Raw genomic sequence first — 27,124 nt, 5'->3', positions numbered from 1 at the left:
GAAGAATGATTACCAATTAACAGTCTTATAACACAGATCATGAAACTGGAAAAGAAATAACATGACAAACCCAAAAATAGCTGAAGAAAATAAATAATGGAAATAAAGGCAGAAGAACTAAATCAAATAGCAACTAAAATTTTTTTAAAGATCAAAATAAAACCTATTTCTTTGAAAATACAAACACAATTAGTAAATTGCAAGTAAGCCAATCAAGAATACTCAAACACAAAATAAACAGTAAATAAATAAAGATAAATGAATAATAATAAATAAATTAAAAACAAATAAAAAAGACATTACAAGTGATACCACAGAAATACAAAGGATTACCAGATGCATTGTGACAACTATTAACTGTCAAACAAGTAAATCTAGAGAAAATGAACAAATTACTGAAAACACACAACCTGTTATGATTGACCCAGGAGGAAACCGGAAACCTGAACACTTGAATAACAAGTATTCATGCTTCCACCCGACAAAAAAAAAAAAAAAAGCCTTGATGCAGATGGATTCACAGCAAAATATTACAAAACATGCAAAGATAAACTAATACCAATCCTCCTGCAAACATTTCAAATATTGAGGAAGAGAAAATTATTCCTAACTCATAGAAGGCAGGTGTTATTTCAATATAAAAACCAGACAAAAACAAAACAAAACAAATACAAGAAGAGAAAGCTACAGACCAATGTCTCCAATAAACCTAAGTGCAAAAATTCTCAAAATACCAGCAAAGCAAAACCAACAGTATGTAAAACAGATAAATAATACACTTTATTATTTAATAGTACAATTTTTATGTACTGTAGATAAAACAGATAAGTCATACAATGTGTTATTTAATAATACAGTTTAAAGATATTTATGGCTAAGACCTCAAAAGCAAATGCAACAAATACAGGAACAAATGCAACAACTAAACTAATAAGCTTCAGTACGGCAAATCAATAACACAGTAAACAGATAACCTGTAGAATATTAAAAAAAAAAAAGGCAAAAAATATTTCCTACAAGGGCTAATGTCCAGACTCTAGAAGAAACTCAAATAACTAACCAGGAAAAGAAAACATTCTGTGGGCAAAAGTCATGAGCAGATATTTCCCAAAAGACAACATACAAGTGAACAACAAATAGATAAAAAATGCTCAACATTGTTAATCATCAGAGGCAGAAAAATCAAAATCACAGTGAGATATTTCACAGCAGTCAGAATAACTATTACAAAAATTCAGAAATCAACAAACACTGGCTAAATTGCAGAAAAATAGAATAATGATATAGTGTTCCTGAGAATAAAATTAGCTCAATTCTTATTTAAACAGTTGAAAATTTTTCAAAGAAATAAAAATAGAACTACCATTTGGCCCAGCAATGCCACAACTAGATATCTACTCAAAGTGGTGGTGGTGAGAGGAGTTATATCAAACACATAGCTGCATTGCTGTGTTTATCATGGCACCATTCAAAATAGCAAGGTTGGCTGAGTGCAGTGGCTCATGCTGTAATCCCAGCACTTTGGGAGGCCAAGGCAGGCAGATCACGAGGTGAAGAGATCAAGACCATCCTGACTAGGAGGGAGAGGTTGTAGTGAGCCAGATCTCACCACTGCACTCCAGCATGGTGACAGAGAGAGACTGTCTCAAAAAAAAAAAAAAAAAAAAATATATATATATATATATATATATATATATACATACATACATACATATATATATATATATATATATATAGTAAGGTCATGGAATTAACCCAAGTTTCCATCAAAGTATGATTGAATTGAAAATATGAAAATGTGGTGTCTATACATGATTTAATACTGCATAACCATAAATATTTACAATAATGTTACAGTTTTTGCAATCACATCCACAGAGCTAAAAACAATTATCTTTAGTAAAATAACTCAAAATCAGAAAATCACTTACCATATGTTTTTACATGTAAGTGGAAGGTGAACGATGAGTACACATGGCCATATAGAGGGATATAATAAACACTAGAGACATCAAAAAAGGAGAGTACAGAAGGAAAGTGGGAGTTAAAAAGTATTCAAAACAACATTTAGTAATTGAGTGATGGGCACACTAAAGGCCAAAACTCAATAGTACACAACATACCCATGTAACACACCTGCATGTATACTCTATTCTCTGAACTTAGCAAAAATTAAATAAATAAATAACATATAAAATGCAGAGTTAATAAATGCATACCCAGATACATTTTGTCAATAAAGAATCACATTGGATGCTTAACAATTAAAATCCATCAACACCTCAAGGCTTACATACCTTCCAAAAGAGTCACGTACCTAAATAATTTATAACAAATTAGTTATAAAACCAATAAATGCAATGCAGAATAAGAATATAATAAGGAACAGTATAATCATAGCTTATACAACAAACATTTTCAAAAAATATAACATTTATTATTAAAAGTAAATAAACTAGAAATGAAAGGAAAATTTCCTCTCTCATAGAGAGCACTATAATTCACAGGTATTCTTTTCTTCAGTAGTGCTAAGTGGAAGCTTACTTTTAAATAAGATGTGGAATGAGGATGCGTTGTTTTTTTTACTTTCACTTAACTTTGCCTTGGAACTTCTAGCCTAAGTCATTAGAAAAAAATGTAAAAAGTAATATAAATTACGTTCATATAAATTTTGCATATTTTAATGCATAGATACAAGTATTAAAAATCAACACCTAAATGAAATGTTTCTAAACTCTAGTAATCTACAATATGGAAACAAAACTATAGAGATAATTTTATTTAGAATAACACAAAAATAATAAAATCAATATTAAAAATGTATACATGTTGTGATAATTGTATACTAAAAGTACAAAATATTATATGAAGTATAAAAAAGAACTAAATGTAGAACAATGTATTTGGATCCCAAATTCTAAGATTTAACATGTTTAAAGTGCAAATCTTTTTTCAAATTTATTTGCAAACTTAATATTTTTCTAGCATATTGCTGTACTTTTCTGTGCAGAATTGAAAATTTTTATTTTAAATTTTATATAAATCTGTCAATCTCTAATTTGTTTCTCCATTGCAGAACTAAAAAATTATCTTATAAAATTTATATTGATGTCTGGTTAGCCAAAATTGTTGAGAAGAAAAGAAACTCTTGTTCATATTTCTTTACTGCTAATATTACTAAGTATTACTAAATAACTACAATTATTTAAATGAAGAACTACTCAAAGTGTGTACACAAAGAAATATGTAGTTGAATGAAAAATTAACAAATAAATAAACTCATATATTTCTGATACATTGACATTGTCAGTGGATAATTCTGTTAAGACAATTTAATAAGACAAGAATTACAGGGAGATCTGACAAGATGGCCACATAGGAACAGCTCCAGTTTGCTGCTTCCATTGAGACCAATGCAGAAAGTGAATGGATAATCTCTACATTTACAAAGGAGGTACCCAGTTAATCTCATTGGGAATGTTTAGGCAGTGGGCGAAGCCTATGGACAGTGAGCAGAAAGCAAGAGAGGGCATTATCTCACCAGAGAAGTACAAGAAGCCAGGAACCAATCTCTGCCCTACCAAGGAAGCCATGAAACACTGTGCTACCTGGCCCAGATACTACAGTTTTCCCATGGGATCTTCAATCTAGAGAGCAGAAAATTCCCTTGTGTGCTTACACCACCAGGGCCCTCGGTTTCAAGCATAAAACTGGGTGGCTGTAGACACCAAGCTAGCTTCAGCTTTTTTGTTTTTGTTGTTGCTGTTTGTTTGTCTGTCTGTTTGTTTTTCCCAGTGGAACCTGGAACCCCAGTGAGAGAACCATTTACTCCCCTGGAAAGAGGGCTAAAGCCAGAGAGCCAAGTGGTCTTGCTCAGTGGGTCCCACTCCCATGGAGTCAGCACCCTAAGAACCACTGGCTTGAAATTCTTGCTGCCAACAGAGCAGCATGAAGTCAACCTGGGATGATCAGGCTTGGTTGGGGAAGAGGCATCCACCATTACTGAGGATGGAGTAGACAGTTTTCCCCTGACAGTGCTAAGGAGGCTAGGAAGTTCATACTGGGCAGAATTCACCAAAGCATGTCAAAGCGGCTGTGGCCAGACTGACTCTCTAGATTCCTCCTCACTAGGGAGGGCATCTCTGAAAGAAAGGCAGTAGCCCCATTCAAGGGATTATAGACAAACTCCCATCTCCGTGGAAAAAGAGCACATGGGGAAAGGGCTGGCTATGTGCCCAGCAACAGCATACTTAAATATTCTTGCCTGCCATCTCTGAAGAGAGCAGCATCTGTCAAGAAGGATTCTCCCAGCACAGTGCTCCAGCTCTGCTAAGGGACAGACTACCTGCTCAAGTAGGTCCCTGACACCCATGACTCCTAACTGGGAGATACCACCAAACAGGAGTAGACAGACACCTTGTACAGGAGAGCTGTGGCTGGCATCAGGCCAGTGTCCCTCTGGGATGAAGCTTCCAGAGGAAGGAGCAGGTGGCAATCCTTTCTGTTCTGCAGCCTCCACTGGTGACACCCAGGCAAACAGGGTCTGGAGTGGACCTCCCGCAAACTGCAGCAGACCTGCAGAAGAGGGACCTGACCGTTAGAAAAAAACAAACAGAAAGAAACAATATCACCATCAACAAAAGGACCCCCACTAAAAAAACCTGTCCAAAGATCATCAGCCTCAAAGAGCAAAGGCAGATAAATCCATGAAGATAAGAAAAAAAAAACAAAAAACATGCTGAAAATTTAAGGAACCAGAATACCTCATCTTCTCCAAATGATTGAAATTCCTCTCCAGCAAGGGCAGAAAACTGGATGGGGAATGAGTTTCATGAGTTGATAGAAGTAGACTTCAGAAGGTGGGTAATAAAAAACTCCTCTGAATTAAAGGAACATGTGCTAACCCAATGCAAGAAAGCTAAGAACCTTTATAAAAGGTGACAGAAATTGCTAACTAGAATACCCAGTTTAGAGAAGAATATAAATGACCTGAAGGAGCTGAAAAACAGTGCTAAAACCTTTGTGAAGCATACACAAGTATCAATATCCAGATTAATCAGGTGGAAGAAAGGATATTAGAGGTTGAAGAAGAGCTTACTGAAATAAAACATGAAGACAAGGTTAGAGAAAAGAAAAGGAATGTGAAGTAGAAAATTAAAAGAAAATTAAAGCTTGCTTAAAAATTGTTGTTAGAGTTAGGATGGAATAGGCCTCAAATAGCCCCCTTCCAAAGTACGAGTTAAGAAAGAATACTAACTACTTCTCTGTGAAATATTAACCATATCTACCCTCTGCATATTTTGTAAGTTCTCTAAGTTTCTGTTTTACTGCTGAACAGCTGAAAGGTCACAAGATAGATAACCACTAGCTGTAAAACATGTTTTATCAAAGATGTAAGACGTGTCACAGATGATTAACTGCTTTTGTTCTCGCTTCTGTAAGCCTGCTTCCTGCCTCATGTACTGCCTGCCTTAAGATGCATAAAAGGCCGGGAGCAGTGGCTCATGCCTATAATCCCAGCACTTTGAGAGGCCGAGGCAGGCAGATCACGAGGTCAGGAGATCAAGACCATCCTGGCTAACAAGGTGAAACCCCGTCTCTACTAAAAATACAAAAACTTAGCCAGGCATGGTGGCAGGCACCTGTAGTCCCAGCCACTCAGGAGGCTGAGGCAGGAGAATGGTGTGAACCCGGGAGGTGGAACTTGCAGTGAGCTGAGATCACACCACTGCACCCCAGCCAGGGTGACAGAGTGAGACTCTGCGTCAAAAAACAAAAACTGCATAAAAGATACTTGCCTTGTTTGTTTGGTGCTCAGACTTTCTGGACACTAGTCCACTGAGCCAGTGTATACCTTAAATAATAAATCGTCCTTTGACCCCATCAGTCTCTCCAGTCTCTGATTTCCTGTAACATTTTCTAGGGGCTCATCCAGGATTGGAGATGGCAAATGTTCTGTCTCCTTTGCCCATAGGACTGGAGCCCAAGAGCAGGGGATACCTGAAATCCTAGGCACTGACAGGAGAACTTCAGACTGGAGAGGAGACCAGCTCTCCTGCATCCCGGTGCCCTTCCCTAACAGCACAATGGAACTGGCAAAGGGGCTACAGGACAATTCCAGGAGCTGCGTGCATTCTTCAAAAACGTGGTAAGGCCTGAAGCCCCAAGTCAAGACCCATCCCATAAGGATGAAACGGGGGCCTAATCACTTCCCAGGGTGTGACTACTCGTCTAACACAGAGGGGCTGAGGAAAGTGGGAGTGACCTGCCAGTTTGGATGAAACTTACAACCTAACTGTCACAGCACATGAAAGAGGCTCACTAAGTCAGTTTAGGAAAATAAAAACTGAAACTAGACGTAGCAAGAATGAGTTGCCACCCTAATTAAAAAACGTGAACTGGGAGTGAAGAGGCATGTGAAAGCACATTAAAGAGACAGTTCTGGGAAGGGCCAACATGGGGCATGACAGGTGAAGGCACAGATCTCTTAATGTGGACTGTGGGCTCTGGAGCCAGTGTGTGGCTGACCAGATCTAGAGCGATCTGTATAAGGCTGACAGGAGCTGCCCTACAGCTGCAGCAGCTGCAGTGGGAATACGATACTGTCCTAGCTAAGCAGTGCATGAAATTCCCGTAATAGGAACCAGTCTGATCAGTCTGTAACAAAAGGTAGAGTGAGTGTGTGTCATAAAAGGAGGAATGGGAGGAAAATCATCAAAAGCTTCTCCATTGGAGTGCATGTTAAATAATTCTGGGAAACGCTTTGGAGGAGATTATGGGGTAAAACTGACCCCCCAAAGGTTGAGAACTCTCTGTGAATTAGACTGGCCTTCTTTTAATGTTGTGTGGCCTGCCAAAGACACAATAGATAGGGAAGAAATTGGCCATGTGTTTAAGGAAGTGACAGGGGTTGGAGAACAGCCTGGGAATCTAGATCAGTTCCCATATATTGATTCCTGGTTGAACATGGTTCTAACACATCCCAAATGGATACAACCTTATTTGACAAGTTATTGTAAGTCTCTGGTAGCCTGAGCTATACCTAAGGAAGTTGAGAAGTCTATCTCAATAGGAGCCTCAGAGGAGAAGAAAAAGCAACAGAGTAGTCAGGAAAAAACAGTCTTCCAAACGCTTTCCAAGGAAAGAAAGTTTCCTCCTTCTTATGCTCCAATACACCCATCCTTGTCAGGGCTAAGACAAGGCAGAAAGCAAATGGCCCTCGAGGAATCAGGCTCAGAGAAAAGTGAGTCTCAAGCAGCATAACCCCATGGAGGGGATCCTGAGCCCCTGCCCATAAAAACCAAAGAGGAAAGGCAGGATTAAACAGCAAGCCACTTCTGGTCAGGCTGCACCCAAGCCTTGCAAATGCTCTTCCATGAGACTCGAGCACAGACGTATTATTATGAACAAGGCCGGGTCCGGGGTGGGCAGTGAATTTTTGTCTACCAGCCTTTCTCCATCACAGACCACCTAAATGGGGAACAGCATACTCCATCCTATACAGAGAAGCCCCAGTCTGTAATAGACCTGTTGCGGTCCATTTTTCTGACTCGCAATTCTACCTGGCCAGACTGCCAGCAGCTCCTTCTGACATGGTTCAATACAAAGGAGCATCAGAGGGTGTCCAAAGAGGCCCTCCAGTGGATAGAGAACAATGCACCTGATGGCACACATGATGTCTGGTGGTATGCCCAGGAACAGTTCTCAGAGACAGACCCAAATTGGAACCCAAATGAGGCAAAAGAGCAGCTCTGCCTGCAGAGATATCAGGAAGCACTCTTAAATGGGATAAAAGCTGAAGGGAAAAAGGCAATGAACATAGGAAAAATTTCAGAGGTCCTTAAAAAGGCTGATGAGAGCCCAAGTCAGTCCTATGAGAGTCTCTGTGAGGCATACCAGCTCTATAGCCCATTTGACCCCGAGGCTACAGAGAGAATCAGTGCATGGTGAATATGTCATTTGTTAGTCAGGCACAGGCAGACATTAAACAAAAGCTTTGGGATCTTGAAGGTTTTGCAGGCATGAATGCCACCCAGCTAATAGAAGTATCCACCAAAGTATGTGTTAACCACGATCAGGAGGAAAGGAAGGAGGCTAAGCAGATGATTAAGAAAAAGGCCGAGCTACTGGTGGCAGCCGTTGTTGAAATAGAAACTAGCATTGTAAGGGGACAAGGATGTGGTCATGGTCATGGTTATGAAGAGGTCAAAGTGGCCCGGATTTGAAGGCCAGAGAAGGCTGGAGAGGGATTAGTGTGCATTACGCAAAAAGAAAGCACATTGGAAGGATGAATGTCCAGAGAAGGATAAGGGCAATATCTGTGACCAGGGAGCTTGGCCAGAGCTACCAGCTGTAAGTCATTGTGTTCTGAAACCGGATGCCAACTTGATCAGCCTGGCAGAGACTGTGGAGGACTGAGACAGACTGTTTCTCCATCTCTTTGGGCCACCAGGAGCCTATGGTCACAGTGGAGAGAGGGGACCAATGGATGGACTTTATGGTAGATACCAGAGCTAAACACTGAGTAGTTACCCAACCCATAGGGCTACTATCTAAGAATTATACCACTATTTTCAGGGGATCTGGAGTTTCAGAAAAAGGCCTTTTTGCTGGTCAAGGGGTTGCATTATTGGAGGATGAGAAGTCCACCATGAGTTTCTATACCTTACAAATTGTCAAGTTTCTTTGCTAGGGAAAAACTTGCTCCAAATACTACAGGCACACATTTCCTTTGCACCACAAGGAAATATGTATTTAAACTTACGTCAACCAAAAGCTATGGTGTTAACCCTCACACTGCCAAAAGCTGAGGAATGGAGGCTATATGCACAAGTACCACTTAAGCAAGGACTGCTAGGACCTCTTGAGAAGTATGGGCTAGTTACCAAAATACCTAGAGTATGGGCGGAAAACAATCCACCTGGATTGGCTGTAAATCAGGCACCAGTCTTAGTAGAGTTAAAACCAGGAGCCACCCTGGTATGAGTTTGTCAGTAACTGATTTTCATATAAGCCATCCAAGGTGTTCAAAAGCATATAGACTGGCTTTTCAAGAATAGAATCATAGTTAAATGCAGATAAGTTTGGACCACTCCTCTGTTGCCAGTATGAAAGCCATCTGGGGAATATGGGCCAGTGCAGGATTTGCGTGCCATAAACCAGGTCACAGAGACAATCTATCCAGTAGTGCCCAACCCATACACCTTGTTAGGACAAATACCAGCTAGTGCAGCCTGGTTTATTTTCTTCTACCTAAAGGATGCATTCTTTTGTCTCCAGCTGGTGCCAGTGAGCTGACCTATCTTTGCATTTCATTGGGGAGAAACACAGTATACTTGGACAAGGCTCCCACGAGGGTTTAAGAACTCCCCTACAATCTTTGGAGAAGTGCTAGCATCAGATCTCAGGAGCTTTCATTCCACCTAATGACAAATGCTTCTGACTGCAGTTCATAGATAACCTCCTATTTATGGTCCCCACTCAGGTGGATTGCCTTCAGGGCACTGAGAAACTCCTCCACCTTTTGTGGAAGGCCAAATATAAAGTATCCAAGAAAAAGGCACACATCTGTTCAGAAGGAGTCATATATCTAGGTTTTGAAATAAGTGAAGGGAAATGTGAGCTTGGCAGTGAGCGAAAGCGGACTGTTTGTGCAGTACCATCCCAACCACTGGGTGCCAAATAAGGGAATTCCTAGGAGCAGCAGGTTTCTGCCACATCTACATTCCAAATTTTTTACTTATGGCAAAATTGCTGTATGAAGCCACAGAGTGGGGAAAAAGAGCCCCTTCTTTGGGAAGCCAATCAGGAAAAAGCTTACAAGGGATCAAAAGGGCTTTAATCCAGGCCCTGGCCTTAGGACTGCCAGATCAGACTAAGCCTTTCTTCCTATATGTCTATGAATGGAAGGAAGTGGCTGTAGGGATCCTGACTCAAATGATGGGGTCATGGCATATACCAGCGGTGTATTTATCCAAACAGCTGGACCCTTTGGTGCTAAGCTGGCCCCCTTGCTTTAAGACATCAGCTGCTACAACCCTTTTGTCACAAGAAGCCAATAAATTGACCTTAGGACAAAAACTAATCATCAGAGTACCCCACACAGTTATCATCTTGATGGATCAAAGGGGACATTATTGGTTGTCAAACCCAAGAATTACCAGATAGATATCAAGGACTCTTATCTGAAAATCTTTATGTAATCATAGGAACTGTTATTTCTTTAAACCCAGCCACTCTGCTACCCATAAAAAGGCCAAAAGATTCCATTCCCTATCACTATTGTGTGGATGTAGTGGAGGAATTATTCTGTAGCTGAAAAGACTTAACAGACCAGCCCCTTGTTGGCCCAGATGTTGAGTACTTCATGGATGGGAGCAGTTTTATCTCAGAAGGGATCCAGTAACCTGCATATACAGTAGTAACCTGGGACTCAGTGGTAGAGGCTCAGCCTCTGCCTGCTAGGAAATCTGCTCAGAAAGCAGAGCTAACAGCTCCAACAAGAGCCCTACTGTTGGCCAGAGGAAAAGTGGTTAACAGTTATACTGACTTTAAGTATGCCTTTGTGACACTGCTTGCTCATGGGGCCATATATAAAGAAAGAGGACTTTTAACTGCAGGAAGAAAGGAGATAAAAAATAAAGAGAAAATTCTACAACTCTTAGATGCTGCGTGGGCCCCAGAAAAGGTGGCTGTCATTCACTGCAAGGGACATAAAGCATCAGAAATTTTGAAGCAAAAGCAAACAGAAAAGCAGATAAAAAGGCACAATGGGCATCAATGGCCACTTTTCCTCCTAAAGAGGGAGCCCTAGCAATGCCTCTCTTCCCAGAGATTTCCCTCCCAGAGATCCCAAGTTACACTCTAAATGAAAGGAGTTGTTTTGCTCAGGAAAATGGAAACTACACTGAGGGAGGATGATGGAAGTTCTCTGATGGGAGGCTAGCCATACCTGAGATGATGACTCCCAGATTTGTAAATCAGTTCCACCAAGGAACCCACATGGGAAGACAGCACTAGAAACCTTGCTAGGATGGCACTTTTATGTGCAAAGACTTAGCCCCATCACTTGAGCCATCTGTGAGCAATGTCTGATTTGTCCTCAAAACAACCCATGGCAGGGGCCAACCTGGCCCCCAGCAGTTCAGAAATCAGAGCTACACCTTGTGAAAATTTACTTGTAGACTTTACCAAACTGCCCCAGGCTGGGGGCCACTGGTACCTACTAGTGCTTGTTTGCACCTTTTCACTGTGGGTTGAGGTTTTCCCAAACAGGACAGAAAAGGCATGGGAAGTAACTAGAGTGCAGTTAAAAGACTGCATTCCTAGATTTGGACTGCCTGTAACTATAGGATCAGAAAATGGCCAGGCATTTGTGGCTGAGATTGTACAGCAGCTAACACAACTACTAAAAATAAAATTGAAGTGGCACACTGCCTACCACCTGCAAAGCTCAGGAAAAGTAGAGTGGATGAACCAAACACTCAAGCAACTACTGAAGAAATTCTGTCAAGAAACTCATCTCAGGTGGGATCAGGTTTTGCCCGGAGTCCTCCTCTGAGTCAGGTGCCCCACTACCAAACAAACTGGGTATTCACCTTGGGAGATTTTGTTCAGCAGACCACCCCCAGCATAACTCAGGTTAAAGGTGACCTCCATGATTTAGGGGAATTAAACTTAACCAGGCAAATAGAGGCCTTAGGTCTAGCTATGCAGAAAGTCCATGGCTGGGTACGGGAAATGATGCCTGTAAGTCTAACAGACCCAATATGCCCGCTCAAATCTGGGGACCTGGTTTGAGTTATGAAACAGAATCCAACTACTCTAGGACCCTTATGGGATGGGCCCCATGCTGTAATCTTGTCTACTTCCACAGCTGTTAAAGTTGCAGGTATCATACTGTGGGTCCACCACAGTTGGCCAAAATTGGCAGCACTGGACAAGTGGACCAGTCAGGAAGACCCAGACCACCCAACAGGGCTGATCTTGCGATGGAACCAAGTCATGCTGAGAAGGACAACCACTCTGCTCTGTCCACTCCAGAGGCTGGACAGTCTACACATGGCTGAAGCTTGAGGAAACTTCAAGCCCTGCCCTAGTCACACCACAAGCTGACTAGTCTATGCACGGCTGAAGCTTGAAGAGTCTTCCTCAGATGAGTAAATGTGGATAGAAGTATTAAGTTTAGTTGCTATCTTAGTAATATTACTTGTTCTGTTGCTATGCTATAATTTTTGCCAGTCCCTCCTCCCAGGAAAGGACCTTTTTTGTCCATACTTTGTGTAAACATACCACTCCTTATTTTTATTTTGCTACTACCACTGCCTATGGCAAAGAGAAAGCACCTGGAATGGTGCCCCCACTGCACTCATACCACAAAGTCTGGAAGAACTTTAACTAAAACTCTCCTATATCATACTCATTACATGTGTGCCAGGGCACATTTGGGTACCTGTGTACATGACCAAATAACATATTCAATTTATGACCCAGGAAATAACAAACCATATATATGTTATGACCCTAAGACTCCACTCACAGAATTCTAGTTTGAGTCTCATGCAAAAATAAAAGATGGGGATCTTTTGAATCAAAATAAGGGTTTTTCCCTTGGCATAGATGCCACATCCTTATATCTTAACCTCTGCCAACACACTTTCACGGTGTCCACTCACTTAATTATTATCTCTGACCCTGAAGGTTACCTTAGCAGTTGTCATACCACTGGATGTGCACCCTCCATTTGCTCTGCCAGATACCTAGTGATGATTGGATGCTGGAGCTGCTCAACATGGTTACACAACCCATTAGAGGAGGCTCTACTTACCAGAATGCTAGCCAAACCTCACTGTAATTGGAAAACATGTTCCTGTAGTACTGTGAATTTTACTATCTTAAAGCCAAATGAACTCATATGGACTACAGGATATCCCATAATGTTAGGAGTTGCTGATCAAAAGGCAGCCATGGAAATCTAGCTATTTATTATTAAGAAAACAAACAAAACAGCCAATACCTCAGTTCTAGTCTTCATGTCATTTTATAAATATTCCAACCAGAAGGTATCTGAGCCACCTCCTCCAACCAAAAACTTATTTGCCCAGCTAGCTGAAAACATAACTGGCAGTTTAGGAATTACTTCCTGTTATGTTTGTGGAGGAACAAATGTAGAAGACCAATGGCCATGGGAGGCAAAAGAATTAATGCCTCAAGATAATTTCACTCTTCCTAAATCCACCAATGAACCAATAGACTCAGCCAGTGTGTGGATACTGAATACCTCCATAATTTGAAGGTACTGTATCATCCATTGAGGAGAAGCATTTACAGATGTAGTAGGATAATTAACTTGCTTAGGGCAAAAATATTATAATAGAACTGAAGGAAAATTCCATGGAGGAGTACAAAAAATGATTCCTCCTTATCTAATTTTAACCCCTTTTCTCAGTTTCCCACCTCGCACCATTCTTGGTATCAGCTTGAGGATCCAAATTCTTGGCAAGTACCCTCTGGCCTCCATTGCATCTGTGGAACATAGGCATATCAGAAACTGCTGCCTAAGTGGTCAGGGGCCAATGTATTAAAAATAATTAGGCCTTTCTCTTTCTTAACCCCCCTAAAGCAGGGTGAGACTTCAGGGTATACAGTTTATGATGAGAATAAAAATGAACCAGGAGGTTATTTTATTTTGTTGTTAGTCTCAAAAATAGAACAAACTTCAAAAAGGATATAGATATATGATACTGGAAATGTAATGAATGGCCTCCTGAAAGAATTATTAAATACTATGGGCAAGCCACCTGGGCAGAAGATGGAATGTGGGGATATCATACCCTCATTTACATGATCAGCCATGTCATAAGGTTACAAGCTGTTCTTGAAATTATAACCAAGGAAACATCAAGGGCTTTAGGTTTGGTGGCCGTGCAAGCCACACAGAGGAGATAAACTATTTATCAAAATAGGTTGGTACTAGATTAACTCCTGGCCTCAGAAAGGACAGTATGTGGGAAGTTCAGTTTAACAAATGTCTGGAAATTGATGATAATGAACAACTTGTCATAAAGATTACTGCAAAGATGTGAAAGCTGGCTCATGTTCCAGTGCAAATCAGGAAAGGCTGGTCTCCAGACTCCTTCTTCGGAGGATGTTTTTCATCTTTTTGTGGATTTAAAACCATAACAGACTGCTTTGTAGTTATCTTAAGTGGGTGTCTAATACTCCCTTCTCTCCTGCCTCTTTTGATCAGAAGCATTCAGTCAAGTATAAAAGCAATTGTGACAAGGCAAACCACCACCCAAATGATGGCTTTAAGTAAACACTATCCTCTATCTAGAGAAGAAAGTGTGCCATCCCATTGAGAAATAGATGATAGTGGTGCTTTCTATTAAAAATTCATTCATAAAAAGCATCAAAGGGGGAAATGAAGTACAGAATTAAAGGAAAGTTAAAACTTGCATAAAAATTGTTGTTAGAGTTAGAATAAAATAGGCCTCAAGTAGCCCCCCACCACTGAAGTAGGAGTTAAGAAAGAATACTAACTGCTTCTCTGTGAAACGTTATCCATAATCTACCCTCTGCATATTTTGTAAGTTCTGTTAAGTTCCTGTTTTTCTGCTGAACAACTGAAAGGTCACAAGATAGATAAGCACTAGCTGCAAAACATGTTTTTCCAAAGATGTAAGACACGTCATAATGTGACTGACTGCTTTTTGTTCTCACTTCTGTAAGCCTGCTTCCTGCCTCGTGTACTGCCTGCCTTAAGATGCATAAAAGGCACTTGCCTTGTTTGTTTGGTGCTCACACTTTTTCTGGATGCTAGTCCACAGAGTTGGGGTACACCCTAAATAATAAATCCTTCTGTGACCCGATTGGTCTCTCTGGTTCTCTGATTTCCCACTACAAATGAACAAAACCTCCAAGAAATATGGGGCTATTGGAAAAGACCACACCTGTGATTGATTGGTGTATGGGAAAGTGTTGAGGAGAATGATAACAAGTTGAAAAACACACTTCAGTATACTATCCAGAAGAACTTCCCCAACCTAGCAAAAAAGGCCAACATTCAAATTCAGGAACTGGAACACCACTAAGATACTCCTCAAGAAGAGCAACCCCAAGACATATAATTGTCAGATCCACTAAGGTTGAAATGAAGGAAAAAGTGTTAAGGGCAGCCAGAGAGAAAGGTCGAGTTACCTATAAAGGGAAGGGACAGCCTGTACAACTATAAAGGGAAGGGAAGTTCTGTACAACTGTAAAGGGAAGCCTGTACAACTAACAGCAGATCTCTCAGCAGAAACCCTATAAGCCAGAGGAGAGTGGGGGCCAATATTCAACATTCTTAAAGAAAAGCATTTTCAACCCAGAATTTCATATCCAGCCAAACTAAGCTTCACAAGTGAAGGAGAAATAAAATCCTTTACAGACAAGCAAATGCTTACAGATTTTGTCACCACTATGCCTGCCTTTCAAGCGCTCCTGAAGGAAGCATTAAACATGGAAGGAAACAACCGGTACCATGCCAAATTGTAAAGACCGTTGATGCTGTGGAGAAACCACGTCAACTAATGTTCAAAATAAGGGATCATATGTTGAAAGGATCAAATTCAAACATAACAGTATTAATCTTAAATGTTAATGGGCAAAATTCTCCAATTGAAGGACAAAGACTGGCAAATTATATAGAGTCAAGACCCATCAGTGTGCTGTGTTCAGGAGACCGATCTCATGTGCAAAGACACACATGGGTTCAAAATAAAGGGATGGAGGAATATTTACCAAGCAAATCAAAAGAAAAAAAGGGGTTGCAATCACAGTCTCTGAGAAAAAAGACCTTAAAACACCAAAGATCAAAAAAGACAAAGAATGGCATTACATAATGGTAAAGAGATCAAGGCAATGAGAAATATTAACTATTCTAAATATACATGCACCTATTACAGGAGCACTCAGATTCATCAAATAAGTTCTTAGAAATCTACAAAAATACTGAAACTCCCACATAATAATAGTGGGAGACCTTAACACACCATTGTCAATATTACAGAGTTCAATGAAACAGAAAATTAACAAGAATACTTAACCCACGAACTCAGCTCTGGACAAAGCAGATCTAATAGACATCTACAGAGCTCTCTGTCCCAAATCAACATAATATACATTCTTCTCAGCACTACATAGCACTTATACTAAAATCGACCACATAATTGGAAGTAAAACACTCCTCAACAAACGCAGAAGAATTGAAAACATAACAAGCAGTCTCTCAGACCATAAAGCAATCAAATTAGAACTCAGGATTGAGAAACTCACTCAAAACCACCAACTACATGGAAACTGAACAACCTGTTCCTGAGTGACTACAGGGTAAATAAAATTAATGCAGAAATGAAGAAGTTCTCTGAAATCAATGAGAACAAAGAAACAATTTACCAGATTCTCTGGGACGCAACTAATGCAGTGTTAAGGGAGAAATTTATACCACTAACTGCCCATGTCAGAAAGCAAAAAAAGTCCAAAATTGACAACTTAGTATCATAATTAAAAGAATTAGAGAAGCAAGAGCAAACACATTCAAAAGCTACAAGAAGTAAGAAATAGGTAAAATCAAAGCAGGATTGAAGAAGGTAGAGACACAAAAAACCCTTCAAAAACTCAGTGAATACACCAGATTTTTTCAAGATTAACAAAATAGACTCATAGCTAGACTAACAAATAATAAAAGAAGAATCAAATATACACAATAAAAATGATAAAGGAGATATCACCACTGATCTCACGGAAATACAAACTACCATCAGGGAATACTATAACCACCTCTACACAAATAAACTAGAAAATCTAAAAGAAATTGATAAATTCCTGGACACATACTCCCTCCCAAGACTAAACCAGGAAGATGTGAAATCCGTGAATAGACCAATAACAAGTTCTGAATTTGAGGCACTCATGAATAGCCTACCAACTAAGAAAAGCCCAGGACCAGATGGATTCACTGTCATGTTGTAACAGATGTATAAAGAGAAGTTAGTACTATTCTTTCTGAAACTATTCCAAACAATAGAAAAAGGGGGATTCCTCCCTAACTCATTTTATGAGACCAGAATCATCCTGATACCCAAACCAGGAAAAGACAAAACAATAAAAATATCAAGCCAATATACCTGATGAACACCAATGAAAAATTCTCAATAAAATATCATCAAACCAAATCCAGCAACATATCAAAAAGCTTATCCGCCATGATCGAGTTGGCTTCATCCTTTTGGTGCAAGCCTGGTTCAACATACACAAATCAATAAATGTAATCTATCACATAAACAGAACAAATGACAGAAACCACATGAATATCTCAATATATCCAGAAAATGCCTTCAATAAAATTCGACATCCCTTAATGTAAAAAACACTCAGTAAACTTGATAATGATGGAACATATCTCAAAATAATAAGAGCTATTTATGGCAAATCCACAGCCAATATTATACCAAATGGGCAAAACCTGGAAGTATTCCCTTTGAAAAATGGCACAAGACAAGGATGTCCTTTCTAACCACTCCTATTTAACATAATATTGGAAGTTCTCAGCACTGCAATCATAAAAGAGAAAGAAATAAAAGTTATTTAAATAGAAAGAGAGGAAGTCAAATTTTCTGTGTTTGCAGGTGACATGATCAGCCCAATAACTCCTTAAACTGATAAACAACTTTAGTAAAGTCTCAGGGTACAAAAGTGATGTTCAAAAAGTACAAGCATTCCTTTACAACTACAACAGATAAGCAGATAGACAAATCCAGAATAAACTCCCATTCACAATCAATACAAAAAGAATAAAATACCTAAGAATATAGCTAACAAGGGATGGGGAGGACCTCTTTAAGCAGAACTACAAACCACTCTTCAAGGAAATGAGAGCGGACACAAACAAATGGAAAAATATTACATTCTCATAGATAGTAAGAATCAATATCCTGAAAATGGTCATACTGCCAAAAGTAATTTAAGATTCAATGCTACTCCCATCAAACTACCATTGGCATTCTTCACAGAATTAAAAAAAAACTATTTTATATTTTATTTGGAATCAAAGAAGACCCCCAATAGTCAAGACAATTCAAAGCAAAAAGAACAAAGCCGGAGTCATCATGCTGTATGACTTCAAACTATACTACAAGGCTACAAAACCAAAAAGCATGGCACGTCTAACAATGTAGCAGAACAGAGGCCTCAAAAATTACAACACACATCTACAGCCATCTGATCTTTGACAAACCTGATGAAAACAAGTAATGGGGAAATTATCTCCTATTCAAGAGAATGGTACGGGAAAACTGGCTAGCTATATGCAGAAAACGGAAACTGAATCCCTTCCTTACACCTATATAATTAACTCAAGATGGATTAAACACTTAAATGTAGCCATCAAAACCATAAAAAAAAAATTAGAAGAAAGCCTAGGCAACACCATTCAGGACATAGGCATGGGCAAATACTTCATGAAAAAAATTCCAAAAGCAATTGCAACAAAAGCCACAATTGACAAATGGAACCTAATTAAACTAAAGAGTTTCTGCACAACAAAAGAAACTATCATCAGAGTGAACAGGAAACCTACAGGGTAGTAGAAAATGTTTGTAGTCTACACATCAGATAAAGGTCTAATATCCATAATTTTCAAGAAACATAAAGAAATTTTCAAGTGAAAACAACCCCACCAAAAAGTGGGCAAAACATATGATCAGAAACTTCTCAAAGGAAGACATTTATGCAGCCAACAAACATATGAAACAAAGCTCCACATCACTGATTATTGGAGAAATGCAAATCCAAACCACAATGAGGTACCATCTCACAATAGTCAGAAGGGCAATTATTGAAAAGCCAGGAAATAAGAGATACTGGTGAGGTTGTTGAGAAATAACATGACCCTGAGGAACCAGAAGTTAACAAATATATTAAGATTTGAACATCTAAGCTAATGACAATAAAAATATGTCACACCAGGACATGTAGAATAAAGCAAATGCAGTACTGAGACTGTTTATATCAACAAACACCCATATCAGGTAAATAGAAAGTTTTTAAATTCTAAAAACCTAATGATGCATAGCAAATAATTTAAAAAGGAGAAAAACCCTAACTCAAATGACTAAAAGTATAATTCTTTCTTGTAATACAAAGATAAAATAAATGCTTGAAGATGAATATCTCACTTACCCTGATGTGATTCTTTTGCATTGTATGCTTATATAAAAATACGGCATATACTCTATATGCACATGATTTCCCTGTACAGATGAGCAGATAGTCATGTTTAGAAAATTCAAACTAATGTAAGGTAACACAAATAGGAATTTAGATTTATATCAGAAAAGCTATTCAAAGATATGTATATAATTAAAAACAAGCAAGCAAAAACTCTGTAGCTGAAAAATACAATTGTCGTGCTAAAGAATCTATGAAAATTATTTAATAACAAAAAATCAAGTGGAATAATTAGTGAGTTTAAAGACAGACTATTAAAAATGTACAGTAAAATAAGACAAAATAATAAATAATAATAAAATAATATAATGCATCTGTAGGATTTATAATGTAGCCTCAAAAAAAACAAATGTAAGAATTATTGGCCATAAAGTAGAAGTAGACAAAGAAATAGAGATACAAAGTGTTTTTAGAAAGGCTGGGTGTAGTGGCTCATGCCTGTAATTTCAGCACTTTAAGAGGCTGGTGGCGTGTGTATCACTTGAGGCCTGGAGTGCGAGACCAGCCTGGCCAACATGATGAAACCCCATCTCTACAAAAATACAAAAATGAGTTTGTCATGGTGGCATGCACCTGTAGTCCCAGCTACTACAGAGGCTAAGGCAGAAAATTACTTTAACCCATGAGGTGAAGAACTAATGACAATACTACTCAAATTATTCTAAAAAATAGAGGAGAAGAATATAACTTCCAAACTCATTTTGTGTAGCCTGTATTATACTTATACCAAAACCAAAGGCACATTCAAACAAGAAAACTACAGGTTAACATATCTGATAAATTTTGATATGAAAATCCTCAATCAAATACTAGAACACTGAATTCAACCATACATTACAAAGATCATTCATCATGATTGAGTAAAATTTATCTCTGTGATGCAAGCATAATATGTCACCATATACAAATCAGTGTGATGAATCAATCTGTTGATATAACAAAATAAAAATATCAGTGAAAATATAATTCAGATTAAAAATAGATAATCATCATAATATAAATGTGTTTATTTGGAAAGATTTAAAATTGAAAATCCATTAGCTAGACAAAGAAAAAACAAGAACAAAAAATAAGTAAAGCCATTAACCAAGTGCAAGAAATCATTAGAAACTATTATGAATAACTATATACACAAACAAGTTAAAAACCCAAGGGAAATTGATAAATTTCTACACTTAGATAGCTTACTCAGATTGAAGAAGAAAGAATTAATAAAAACCAGAACAGAAAAGGGCATGAAGAGATGGAGAGAAAGATGGCAGAATCAAAGGCTCACCAACATGACCTCACCAACATGACCTCACTCACATTACTAACAATTGTAAAAGTAGAATAAAATAAAATAAAGTAAAATAAAGTATGAATGATATCAACATTGATTCATCTCACTGATTGATTTGTATATGGTGATTATACGATAATTCCATTGATACCAAAAATGCATTTCATTACATTCAACATCTCTTCAACATAAAAACCTCAGACACTGGGGAGAGAAAAACGTACCTCAATAAAACCACATAAGCCTACAGGTATTATTATGCTTAGTAGGGAAACACTGAAAGCCTTTTATCTAAGATCTAGTATATGACAAGAATACCCACTGTGGCCCACTTTTATTCAACATAATATTGGAAGTCCTAGTTAGAGCAATGAGACAAGAGAAAGATACAAAAGTTTCTAAATTGGAAAGAAATAAGTCAAATTATCCTTGCTTACAGATTATATAATCTCACATTTGGAAAAACCTAAAGACTCTTATTGGAATGAATAAACAAATTTAGTAAAGGTGCAGTATACAAAATTAACATACAAAATTAGTAGCATATCTATATGCCAACAGGAAACAATGTGAAAATAAAATTTAAAAAGTAATTGCATTTGCAATAGCCACACAGAAAATTAAATACTTAGGGATTAACTTTACCAAAGAAGTGAAATATCTCTGTAATAAAAACTAAAACACTGATGAAATAAACTGAAAAAAACACCAAAATAACTGAAAAATATTACACATTCAAAAACTGGAAGACTCAATATTGCTAAAAAGTCAATACTACCCAAAGCAATCTACAGATTCAATACATTCTCTCTCAAAACACCAATGATATTCTTAAAAGAAATATTAAAAATTAATTATAAAATGTATATAAAACCACAAAAAACCCAGAATAGCTATTCTATACAAAAATTTAAAAAAAAAATCACATTATGACTTTGATTTATACTACAGAGCTATGGTAACCAAAACAACATGATACTAACATAAAAATAGACACATAGACCAATGGAACAGAATAGAGAACCAAGAAACAAATCTATGCTCCTACAGAAAACACATTTTCAACAATGGTGTGAAGAACATATACTGGGGAAAGAGACAGTTTTTTTTTAAATAAATGTTGCTCAATTAACTGGATATCCATATGCAGAAAAATGAAACTAGACACCTATCTCTCACCATGTACAAAAATCAAATCATAATGAATTAAAATTTAACCTATGACCTTAAACTCTTAAACTACAACAAAATAAACTTTGTGGACAAACTCTGGAACATGGGTCTCAGGAAAAATTATGTGTTTAATACTTCATAAGCACAAAAAGGCAACCAAAGCAAAAATAAACAAATGTTATCACATCAAGTTAAAAGCTTCTGCTCAGAAAAAAAAGGAAGAGGGAAGGGGATAACCCATGAAACCTGAAAGAATATTTGCACACTACCCACCTGACAAAAGATTTGTAACCAAAATATATAAAGTGCTGAGACAAAGATATAGGAAAAAAAAAAATCTAATAACCTGACTAAAGAATGGGCAAAATATTTGAATAGGCATTTCTCAAGAGTAAACATATGAGTAGCAAATAGACATATAAAAAGTTGCTAACCTTCACTGATCATCAGAGAAATGCAAATAAAAGCTACAATGAGATATTATATCACTCCAGTTAAAACGGCTGATACAAAAAGAAAAAAAACAGGCAGTAACAAATGCTGACAGTAATGTGGAGAAATGTGAACACTTGTACACTCTTGCTGGGAATGTAAAGTAGTACAGACACTATGGAGAACATTTGGGAGATTTTTTAAAAAGCTAAAAATCGAGCTGTTGTATGATCTAACAATCTCACTCCTGGTTATATACCCCAAAGCAAGAAAATTCATATTATCAAAAAGACATATGCACACCTGTGTTTGTTACAACATTGTTTACAATCACTAAGATTTGGAGGCAGCCTAAGTATTCATCAAAAGATGAGTGAGTAAAAAAGTGGTACATATACACAATGGAGTACTAATACTAATAAGCCATAAAATATAGCATGCTTTCATTTGCAACAACATAGATGGATGTCATATTATTATTTTAAGTAAAATACAGCAGGAACAGAAAGGCAAAACATTACACATTTTCTTTATTTGTGAAACCTAATAAAGCAATTGAACTTATGAACATAGTGAGTAGAGGGCTGTTTACCAGAGGCTGGAAAGAATAATAGGAAGCTGATCAGGAGGTGGAGATGTTTAAGCCATAAAAAGAAAATAGAAAAAATTAATAAGACCTACTCTTTGATAGCACACAAAGTGATTATAGCCAATAATAGCTGTGCATTTAAAAGTAACAAAAGAGAGTAAATGGGTTGTTTGCTACTCAATGAATAAAATGCTTGGCATAATGTATAATCTAGTCTTCATGATAAAATTATTTCAAATTTAATGTCTATTTCAAAATAGCTCAGATATTCCATAAATGTATACCCCAACTATGTACCTACAAAAATTAAAAAGAAAATAAAAATTATAAAAATAAAATAATTTTAATCTAAAATAAAAAATAAATAAAACTTGAACATACCAAAAATTAATTTAAATAGTAAGTTATTATATAAGTATCTCAACAAAATAAATCTGAAGGCTTTAGTGATAAATGGCTTTAGTGATAAATTTTACCAAACATTAGTACAGAATTCATATAAATCATTGGGTTATTCCAAAAAATAAAGACTGTTTCCTAAATAATTCTATGTGGCTAGAATTATCCTAATACCAAAATGAAACAAAGACATAATAAAAGATAAAACTTCAAGTCAGTATCTTTAATGAACACTGATGCAAACTCCTCAATAAAATATTATCAAAACAAAAAATAAGATAATATAACATGGTAAACTGGTATTTTTCACAGGAATGTAAACAAAATTCAACATAGAGATATTGTAAAATGTGATACATCACATCAGCAGAATAATCATCATAACAATACAATAATCTCAATATATGTAGTACATTGAGCTCATATCTTAAAGCATTTGATGAAATTCAACATATTTTCATAAGAAATATTTCCAAAAATTTAGTATGTAACATACATCAACCTAATAAAAACTACATATGATAAACCCACATTTCAGTAAAGGGGGAAAGGTTAATTTTTTTTTGACTTCTCTAGTAACTCCAATAAGACAAGGTTGCCTACTTTCATCACTTGTTCAACACAGTATTGAAAGTATTCGCCAGAGGACTTAGGAAATAGAAATAAATATGGAACATTTAAATTAGAAAAGGGAAACTTAAATTACCTCTCTTTGCAGATGACATAATTCTATACAGTTAAACAATTAAACTAAATACTCTACCAAAGAAACCATTACAACTGATAGACAAATTTAGTAAACATACAGGATATAAAATCAACATATAAAAATTGGCCATGTTTCTATATACCAACAGCATTCAATTTGAAAACAATAAATAAATCGTAGCAAGAAATCAATTCAAACAAAAAGATAAAAAAAATTCTGAAATAAACACCACAAAATGCTAACAAAAGAAATTAAAAGGACACAAATATGAAATACATGGGATTATAGTTTGTGAAAAATGTTAAAATAATTATATTATCCAAAACAATTTATAGATCAAATTAAATCTCTGTCAAAATAACAAGATTTTTATATAAGTAGATAAAACAATCATTAAATTTTAATGGCACCACAGAAGAACCTGAATATCAAAAAATCTACTGAGCAGAAATACAAAGCTGGATGAATCACAGTATCTGACTTTAAAATTGACAAAAAAGCTGTAGTTACCAAAACAGCATGACATAGGTGTAAGTACAGACATATAGACAATTGAGGGAGAACAGAGAAATAAAATAAATAAATTCGCACATTCTCAACTTAGATTATTCAACATGGCCTGAAAAACATTCTTTGGATGAAAGAATAGTGTGTTTAATAAATTGTGTTGGAAATACTGAATATGCAGAGAAATAAAATTCTTACTTTTTTAAAAGGCTTACATTTCACCCTTTATGCAAAAATCAACTAAACATGGATTAAAGACTTAAACAAAACTGGCTTGGAGCGGTGGCTCATGCCTATACTCCCAGCACTTTGGGAAACTGAGGTGGGTGGATCACCTGAGGTTGGGAGTTCAAGACCAGCCTGACCAACATGATGAAACCCCATCTCTACTAAAAAAATTAAAAAAACAAAAATAATTAGCCAGGTGTGGTGGCAGGTGCCTGTAGTCTCAGCTACTCAGGAGGCTGAGGCAGGAGAATGGCATGAACCCGGGAGGTGGAGCTTGCAATGAGCCGAGATGGCACAACTGCACTCCAGCCTGGGCAACAGAGCAAGACTCCATCTCAAAAAATAAATAAATAAATAAAAAAGAAAAGACTTTAAACATAAGTTTCTGATCTATAAAACTACCACAAAAATAGAAGAAACACCTCAAGACATTAGTTTAGTCAAATGTTTCATGAATAAGACTTTAAAAGCAGAAGCAGCAAAATGAAAAATCAATGCACTTCACCACATTGTACTGCAAAGTATTTTCATAGAAAATAGAACAATAAATTAAGAAATTTGCTATTGGACTAATATCCAGAATATACTAGAAACTCATTAGCAAAAAACAAAACAAATTGATTTTTAAAAAATGGACAAAGAGGCCACGCATGATGGTTCACTCCTGTAATCCCAGCACTTTGGGAGACCGAGGCAGGTCAGGAGTTCAATACCAACCTGCCCAAGATAGTGAAACTCCGTTTCTATTAAAAATACAAAAATTAGCTGGTCATGGTGGTGGGTGCCTGTAATCCCAGCTACTAGTGAGGCTGAAGCAGAGAATTGCTTGAACCTGGGATGCGGAGGTTGCAGTGAGGCAAGGTCATGTCACAGCACTCCAGCCTGGGTGACAGAGAGAGACTTGGTCTCAAAAAAAAAAAAAAAAAAAATTGACAAAGAATCTGATTAGGCAATTCTCAAAAGAAGAAATGCACGTTCTCCTCAAAAGCGGATATACGAATACTCCCATTAATATCAGAAGTGTTATGCTTATCACCATAAAATATAAATTAAGACAAAAGTGAGATATTTTCTCACTTTAGTGAAAATAGCTATCAGTAAAAAGATTAAAAAATTGTCGAATGACCATGAGGTTGTGGACAGAAAGAAATATTTATACTGCAGGTGAGAGTGTAAATTAGCACTGTTCTTATATTTTTTAAGTGTTGAGTGTTTACAAAATACTAAAATTACAACCGCCATATGATTCAGAGATCCCACTACTGAGTATTTATTCAAGGTAACGAAAATCAGTTTACAAAAGAAAAAAAAATCTGTTTTTACATGCTTATTGCAGCTCTATTTACAATAGCCAGGATAAAAAAAATCAACTACAAATTTTATCAACATGAGTACATAAAAATGTGGTATATTTACACAATAGTTAATTATTTGGTCATATATAGAACAAAATGATGACGTTTGTGCCAACATGGAGGACACCATAAGATGTTATGCTATGTGAAATAAGCCAGTCACAGAAATAAAAAAACTGCATTATGTCACTCACATTTGAGAGCTTGATAAAGGTTGATTTTATAAAAGTATTGAGTACAATAGTGGTTAACAAAATATATGAAGTGGAAAGGAAGGAAAGAAAGTAGTTGTCTTATTTGTTATAAATTTAGAATTTGACAATAAAAATAATTTCTAGTGTTCTATCACATAGTCCTTGATTATGATAAACAATAAAGTTCTATATATTTCAAAATAGCAAAAAAAGTGAGTTTTGAATATTCTCACCACAAGAAAATAACACATAATTAAGTTAATGGATATATTAATTACCCTGATTTAATCATCACATAATTACATATATTAAAACATCACATTTTTAACCTATACATGTAGAAAATTATGTGCCAATTTAAACAAAATAAAACTTTACTTTCATTATCATATGTTGTCTATATTTACCCAATGTTGCTGCAAATTACAGGATTTTATTTTTCCTCTGACTAATATTCCATTCTAATAATGAAAATATTTATTCTAGTATTTATATACAACCTTATATATAAGAGAGAGACACTCAAAGTACCTGGTTTTAACTTTGTATCACAGAGCCACTGAAGAGGTCTCAAATTACTGGTGTCATTCCTCCATCACTCTATGGCAGTATGGTATGCTGAAGGAATATCTCTGTGTGCTGGGGAAGAGAAAACAGGAATTTTGAAGCAATAAACTGAGTGCTGTCCTGTTAGAGCAAAAAGGAAAAAAATGAACCAAACTCAGCAGATGCTAAGTCATAAAGGGAGCATTTAATCCAGCCCAAGTTAGAGGGGAATTGGCAATTCCAGCAGTACAAACTGGAGTTTTTACCTACCTCACTACTGAGGGTTAAAATGCTCTGGGTTTCTAAGTAAACCTGAAAGGCAGTCTTCAAGGACTTTTATAAGGACCACAACTCTTATGCAAATTCTAGTGTTGAACTAAGCTCAGAGACAGTGGACTGGGGAATCAAGATCTACCGAAACCCCCAGCTGGAGTGGTTAAGAGA

General features: G+C 36.9%; 2 long non-coding RNA genes across 3 annotated transcripts in view; one reads left to right on the top strand and one right to left on the bottom strand.

Moving 5' to 3' along the window:
* LOC107987347 (uncharacterized) overlaps positions 1-7,060 on the top strand; it is a 54,946-nt gene extending 47,886 nt beyond the window's left edge. The window contains exon 3 of the long non-coding RNA XR_001756079.2: positions 5,975-7,060. This is a non-coding gene — a long non-coding RNA (uncharacterized LOC107987347). The remainder of the gene's footprint in view (positions 1-5,974) is intronic.
* On the bottom strand, positions 1,751-26,988 carry LOC107987346 (uncharacterized). 2 transcript variants are annotated; one of them, XR_007068467.1, is made up of 4 exons: positions 26,951-26,988; positions 26,666-26,773; positions 4,417-4,575; positions 1,751-2,002 (listed from the first exon to the last, which is right to left on the bottom strand). It is a non-coding gene; the product is annotated as an uncharacterized LOC107987346 (long non-coding RNA). The 2 variants fall into 2 exon arrangements; XR_001756076.2 differs by having other exon boundaries at positions 1,751-4,575.
* Positions 26,989-27,124: the final 136 nt, after the last annotated feature.

This window comes from Homo sapiens, chromosome Y (assembly GCF_000001405.40).
Source record: "Homo sapiens chromosome Y, GRCh38.p14 Primary Assembly".
Taxonomy (NCBI): Eukaryota; Metazoa; Chordata; class Mammalia; order Primates; family Hominidae; genus Homo; species Homo sapiens.
This window is presented reverse-complemented; position numbering and strand designations above follow the sequence as displayed.